This window comes from Homo sapiens, chromosome 9 (genome assembly GCF_000001405.40).
Source record: "Homo sapiens chromosome 9, GRCh38.p14 Primary Assembly".
Taxonomy (NCBI): domain Eukaryota; kingdom Metazoa; phylum Chordata; class Mammalia; order Primates; family Hominidae; genus Homo; species Homo sapiens.
This window is the reverse complement of record NC_000009.12, coordinates 31,738,142-31,745,465: the sequence shown is the minus strand read 5'-3', so window position 1 is coordinate 31,745,465 and position 7,324 is coordinate 31,738,142.

Genomic DNA, 7,324 nt, shown 5'->3' with positions numbered 1-7,324 from the left:
TGTATCACATTTGCTAGCATGCCATTTGTCAACATAGGTCACATAATTGATCACCATGTTAAGGAGTGAGAATAACATATTTTCCTGAGTAGGAGGGTACTGCAAAGTTACATGGCAGAAAGACAGTTCCCTGGAAACAGGGAGGGCAAAGAATTGGGCCTTCAATGCAGTCAATGCCTAATACTATGTAAATAGCTCCTATTAATCTATAAGAAAAATTATAAACACTCCACTAGAAAAATAAAGACAAGGAGATAATTGCCAGATAGAAAATACAAATAGCCACAGGGTACAATACTACATTGAAAACATTTTTTACAATGAATTAATAACAATAATAACACTTTAATGCTAGTAAAGTGGTCTAACATGTATTAATATTCTATTTTGTAGGGAGGGTAATAATTTAGGGGATAGTTTGCAGAAAAACCGTTAAAGTGTATGAAATGTTATTTCTGAGCAATATTAAGTTTATAATCTAGTAAATCCTCTTCTTAGAATATAGACTTTAAAACACTGTTAATTGGAATAACTGTTCACCTGCAATTATTTTGCCAGCATTATTCATATGAGTTAAAGATAAAAATGCTCTCTCCGTCTAAGAGTTGGAGAGCATGGGAAGGTTCATGAGTATTAGGAACTGGGCTGGATAGCAAGTGAGCCTGGCAGGATAGCATGCACACTGCCTTCCTGCCAGGATGAAAGGCATGGCCCGAAGTGTGTGATCCAACACTTACAAAGTGGTTTGAGTTCACATTCCTTACTTGGGAAAAGCATGATAGGAATATTGACAGTATTTCTGGAAATATGACGAGAGAAGGGACTCCCTCATTGAAGGAATAAAGACAATGGGTATAAAGCTGGGAGCCTGGGGTTTGAAATTTGACAATAATTATTATTTTGTTAAAGCAACTACCATTTATTGAGGACCACACTACATTCAAAGGGTCAGGGATCAGAGAAGTTAAATGTCTTGTTCATGGCCATACAGTTGGCTCAATGGAAAAGCCAGAGTGTGAAAATAGGGCTTTCTGACTCCAAAGCCAATGCACTTTCTACTATTCCACAGAGCAAAACACTCTTATTTCATCTGCACCTTGGATGATAAAGATGTAGAATGACCAAGCATAGCTGAAATGAGATGTGAAAATACAGTTCCTCGGGCACAAAATAAAATACTAGCTTGGGTATTGCTTATTGTAGTAGGCAGAATATAGCTCTGAAGGTGTTCATATCCCAGTCCCAGAAACCTGTGAATATATAACCTCAGTAGAAGGGACTTTTTAGGTGTGATAATGTTAAGTATTTTGAGATGTGGAGATTATCTGTATTGTTTAGGTAAGCCCAACATAATCACAAGCATCCTTATAAGAGAGAGGAAGGAGGGTCGGTGTTTGAGTAAGAGAGGTGATGATAGAAGCAGAGATCTGAGTGATATGAGGAAAGATCCATAAGCTAAGAAATGTGAGTAGCCTCTAAAAGCCGGAAAAGGCAGGAACACAGGTTATTCCTTAGAGCCTCCAGAAAGAATGCAGCCTTGCAAACTCATTTTAGACTCCTTACTTTCAGAACTGTAACATAATAAATTTGTGCTGTTTTAAGCCATTAAGTTTTTAGAAATTTGTTATAGCAGCATTTGGAAACTAATGCAGTTACCTTACTTATTCTGTTTAAATTATGGATACAAATAGGTTTGGGTTCTCTATTTGATTATTACATATGGATACACATTTCATTATCCTATTTTACCTAATTTAGGACAAAATCAAGTCTTTAAATAATTGCATGGGTATGTTTCTGATAATGAGGAAATCCAAATAAATAAATAATTTCATATAAAGATAGAGAAAGAGGTTGATTCCATTAGACAGTCAGCTAATGACACTGTTGAGGATAAACCCTAAATCTGTGTATTAAGGGATATGTTCCAACTAGAAAGATAGAGGAGAAACAGTGTACAAAAGGATGCAAGTTTCAGTTAGGGTATAAATGCAAGATTCAGTTAGAGTGCAGATGATACTGATCACCTCCTTGATAGGGTCTTGACTAGTCACAGGAAATATTCAAGATGTCTTTCTGTATGCCATGTTTTGCATGGTATATTTCAGTCTAGAGGGCCTTATGCATTAATACAGGGAGCTACACAGTGGTCATTTACTTTCAGTCAGTTCCAAGATGCATTGGCTTTGACTTCCCTGTGGCATATAAACACAGCTAAGTTCTGGATTGATTAGGTACCAGGCTTAAAACAAAGCCTATTTACTTCAGCAGTAAAAGTCACACAAGCCACCTCCAAGTCCTTTATCGAGGGTTCAGTGTATCCAGAAGGAAGCAATGACCATATTCTTTCCCCTCAAAAATAGGTCCCAAAAGCCAGCACTCACAGAGCCCGGGAAGCTTTCAAACGAAGTATGGCTAGATGTGGATATGACGGCGGTGGCTTCCTTTGGATCAGAGTTTGGCTGAGCAGGGTCCCCTGAAAAAATAAGCCAAATAGCAATTGCTGCAGTCCTGTCCTATGAGCAGATTGCCTCTTTTATCATATTTCTCTCAGCACTACTGAGTGCATGGCAGTGAGGTTTAGTGCTTACTAATCTACCACTTTTTTTTCCCAAGAAAATACAAAGCAATAATTAAAAGCAAGAAACAATTTCTAATTCTTAGCTTCCACTCCTTCTATTTCTCTTGTCTATTGTAATGAAAAAGGAGGATACTTTGTGATAAGGGGAGCTCTCACTAAGCATATATGATAGAAGTTAATTTTTTTCAACTAACATCAGTTAATCTATTTCAAAATTCTAACTGGTGCAGGGCATGCTAAACTTGGCCATGGATGTACTCCAGAAAAAAATTAAAATAATCACTTTTTTTGAAATAGAATATCTCCTGCTAGAGATGGCTAGTGATACAAGTCACACAATTTTCATTGTATTCTCAAAATTACATATTCTGAAATAAAACATTTGGAGGACAACATTATCTGATGAGAGATTTTAAAATAATCTACATTGTGTTTAATTACGCAAACAACCTTCTGTAAAGCTTCATTTTTTTGTTAAAGGAGAGATGAGTTTTGTTAATCTGTAGATCTTGAATACATGAGAAAAATCTTATTATACGGTAGTTTGACTATGTGACTAAAATAGGAGGAAAACTATTCTCAGGCCAAGATAAAAAATTTATCTACAAAAAATAGTAATCATTTTTAAAAACTGATTTTAGATATGTGGTACACTGTTAGGCAAGTTGTATTATGATTCTATCCTATTTTTTGGGGGAAGCATATTACAAAAATTCAAATTCAAAAAAAGGTGATAATTATGAGGCCCACTACAGATATTAAGTACTACCACTAACAGTGAGGACCAGTGTTAAGCAACATCACAAGATTTAAAAGCAGTTTTTCCTGATATCCTCATGTCTAAATGGTGAGATCCCATTCTGTAGGTATGATAAACCATACTGTAGGTTAACATTCATGGAATGTAGAGTCAAGCTTTACCCTTTTCCAGAACTTACAATAGACATTTAATAAATTATTATAATTAATAATGAATAATAACCCCTTGTTTTTGAACCTGTCTTTGCATATGCAGAAGATGATTCCATCAGCACCTAATAGACTTGAATATTCACAATTATATCACAGGAGGACAATATCAGCTTCCTGGAAAATTGCAATAGCTAATCAAGATGCTTGCAATCTTGCTGAAGTTACACCTTCCAAACAATTGCATACACAATCTGGTCAATATCTTAAGTTGGTGTTGGATTCCACAAAACTGTTGTGGAATCATTTTTTGTGTGTGTGGCTCTTACTTCAGTGGATGGTAATATCTTTGAAAGTTGAAATGAGGATGTTGTTTTTCTGTTGTTTCATGTTTCAATTGAAAATCTAAGGGAATTTACAAATGTGCTAATTTTAAGTGACCATTATATTATAAGCCAATCTACTCTAACAGAAAAATTGGGAACGTAAATAAGCATTGTGTGGTTTAAAATTAATATCTAATTAATTTGAATGGAAATAATGATATTTGTATAAGAAATAGTTAAGATCTTGGCTGAAATTCAGAAGCATCCCTATGACATATTTTAAAATTGACAAAGCTAGAAAAGGATTTTATCCTAAACCATTAGTTATTATCAAATGTCACTGTATTCAATATATCACTTTGAAATTAAATAACAGTATAGGAATTGTTATAATTGTTTTGTGATTGTAGAAATCTTTGTTGATGTAACAGTAAGAATACAAACAATATTACCAAGTAAAAAAAGTAATGCTTTGTAGATTCTATGATCACATACCTGAGAAACCCTGAGTTGTCATCTCAAAACTATTAGATATAATGAGAAAATTTCACTAAAGGGGCTGGATAATAAAAAATAATTAAAACACAATGGAGATCCTGCATCCCAGCAACAACTACCTAATTTTGTAATTGATAAGGAAATACTACTCATAGCATAATAAAAAGATAATATTTGGGGGAATAGGAAATAAGCAATCTGGATGAGTCATATAAAGAAACTGCAAAATTGAGACATGCTGAAGGACACATATTTTATACATGAGAGTGGATATCCATGCAGGAGAGTGGAGGAGAAACTTATTATGAATAGAATAGAAACGAAGTAAGAACTGAGCCTTGATTACACCAATGACAAGAGCACATGATGAAGACAGGATTATGTTTAATTCAGCTTCTTCTCCCTGAGGTTAAAAATATATGGAGAATAAAAGATAGCTGGCATATGTATTTTGTTGTAAACTGTTTCCACAACGTATTGTGAAAATAGGTATTCTGTCCAAGTTAACTTCCAGTTTGCATACTGTACCAATTAGCATTTCAACAGAAGTTTTCTATGGCTTTTTTTTTTTTTTTTTTTTTTTTTTGAGACGGAGTCTCGCTCTGTTGCCCAGGCTGGACTGCAGTGGTGCGATCTCGGCTCACTGCAAGCTCCGTCTCCCGGGTTCACGCCATTCTCCTGCCTCAGGCTCCTGAGTAGCTGGGACTACAGGTGCCCGCCACCACGCCCAGCTAATTTTTTTGTATTTTTAGTAGAGACAGGGTTTCACCATGTTAGCCAGGATGGTCTCGATCTCCTGACCTCGTGATCCACCCACCTTGGCCTCCCAAAGTGCTGGGACTACAGGCGTGAGCCACCACACCTGGCCTTCTGTGGCATTTTTAATGTTACTTAAAGGTACAACTAGGCAAGAACATAAAAATGAAGTATATGTCAATGACAAATTTTGATAACACTGTGTGACAATCTCATGCAAAGGGAACTAGAAAATAATGTATATGAGAAAAAAGGGGAAAGTTTACAATTGTTATAAGCAAATAATCCACACGGAAAAAGAGGAAGGCAAACATAAGAGCCTAAGGATCTATTTATGTCACTTTTTAGGGTCCTTGTCATTGCCAGCCTTAAACACAGAGAGATGAGGTAAATCACCTGGGGACACAGCCTAGATCAGCAAGTGTTTACTGACTTCCTGCCAGTGACAGATACTGAGCTAAATGTCAGGCACTCGGTAAAAGGGTAGATGCAAACACACACACCCCCTCACACAGCGCATAAAAAAATTACTTAAAATGGGAGGAATGCGTATAACCATGAAAATATTTATTTAAAAAAATAGCTAACCATCAAGAGGAAAGGGGGCATAACTACTTAATTTGGGGAAATATTTTAATCGGCAAAGGTATAAATGTTTCATAGGATATCAAACCACTACTGGGAATTATGATGAGAAAGAGAAATACATTAAGACTGGACAGGGGTAGGAGTTTACACAAAAATGAGAGAGGGCTGTGAGAGGATTTGGAAGAAGCTCCAGTATCATCCACTAAAGATTTTCTAATGGCACACAGTTGGACTTTCCTCTGAGATTTCCCTATAAATGCTTGAATCTTCTACTTTTCACATTTATCTTCCCATAGGCTTAGAATAGCAATAAGTGCTTACATCTAGAAAGCACTTTGCAAATTCATTGCAGGCACAATTATTATGACTAACCCTTTGTTCATGAGGTTAACTTGCTAATTATATGCATAAAACACTCTAAAATATGTTATAATGAAGCTTATTATTTGTATGAGGGCTTGAAAAGGCATATTCTGACAATGACTACTATAAGTCACAGTATCTTATAGCCATCCTCTTAATGCAACAGTAGTCTAAACGCCCATAAGAACCAAAATTGTTTATTCAAGACGTGTGCTTACAAATAGATATTGCTCATTAAATATAAAAGTGGACATTAAATATAAAATTGGAGTTATTTGAGAATGTTCCTTAGGGTAATAAAAAGTGATTTTTTCAGAATGATCATTCTCTTAAAAAAATACAGTGGTGCCACCAGGTTTTAACACTTCTCTGGGTTATGATATAAAGCAATCGAATTTGCTTATGGATTTTGTTTGACCAAGTGCTGCATTCTCTAAAACTACTTTATCTGTATATGATAAAGTACAGATTTAACTTATCATACGGCTTTTACAGTTTTTTTTTTCCACCTCAGTTCAAGGGATCCTCCCACCTCACCTCACAAGTAGCTGGGACTACAGACATGCACCATCAAGCATAATTTTTGTATTTTTTGTAGAGACAGTGTTTTACCATGTTGCGCAGGCTGATCTCGATATCCCAAGCTCAAACAATCTGCGTGCCTCGGCCTCCCAAAGTGCTGGGATTACAGGTGTGAGCCACGGTGCCCAGCTGGGTTTTAGAGTCTTCAAAGAAAAAGATAAAGCTCTATTTTTTTTTTCTTGTTTAAACGCTCTCTGTTCCAGTACCTGTGCTGGATGCTCTATAGAATTTACTATTTAATCTTGTTTTACTGAAATAAAAACTATTACTTAGATAAATGTACAGATATTAAGTGTTCACTTTGATGAGTTTTGACAATTGTATGAACCTTTGTCATTTGCAACAATTGCAGAAAGTGATTCATAGACAATTTTCATCCCTGCAAAATATTTAATTCTATAACTTTTCTCAACTCCTTGTGCTTCCTGTTTCCATCAAACACTATCATAATAGACTAGGTTGCCTATATTTGGATTTAAGAGCATTGGGATATATAGTTTCATTCACTGTGTGATTGCTTTTGCATCATCTAATGTTTCCTACATTCATTCATGTTGGTGTATGAATCAATAATTGTTCATTTTATAGCTGATTAGCATTTCATGGCAGGAACGTGTGTAAATTATACATAAGGATGTACATTGGTGTACAAGTATATTTTTATTTTTTAGTTTTTGGAACAGTCTCTGTTGCCCAGGCTGGAGTACAATGGCGTGATCAT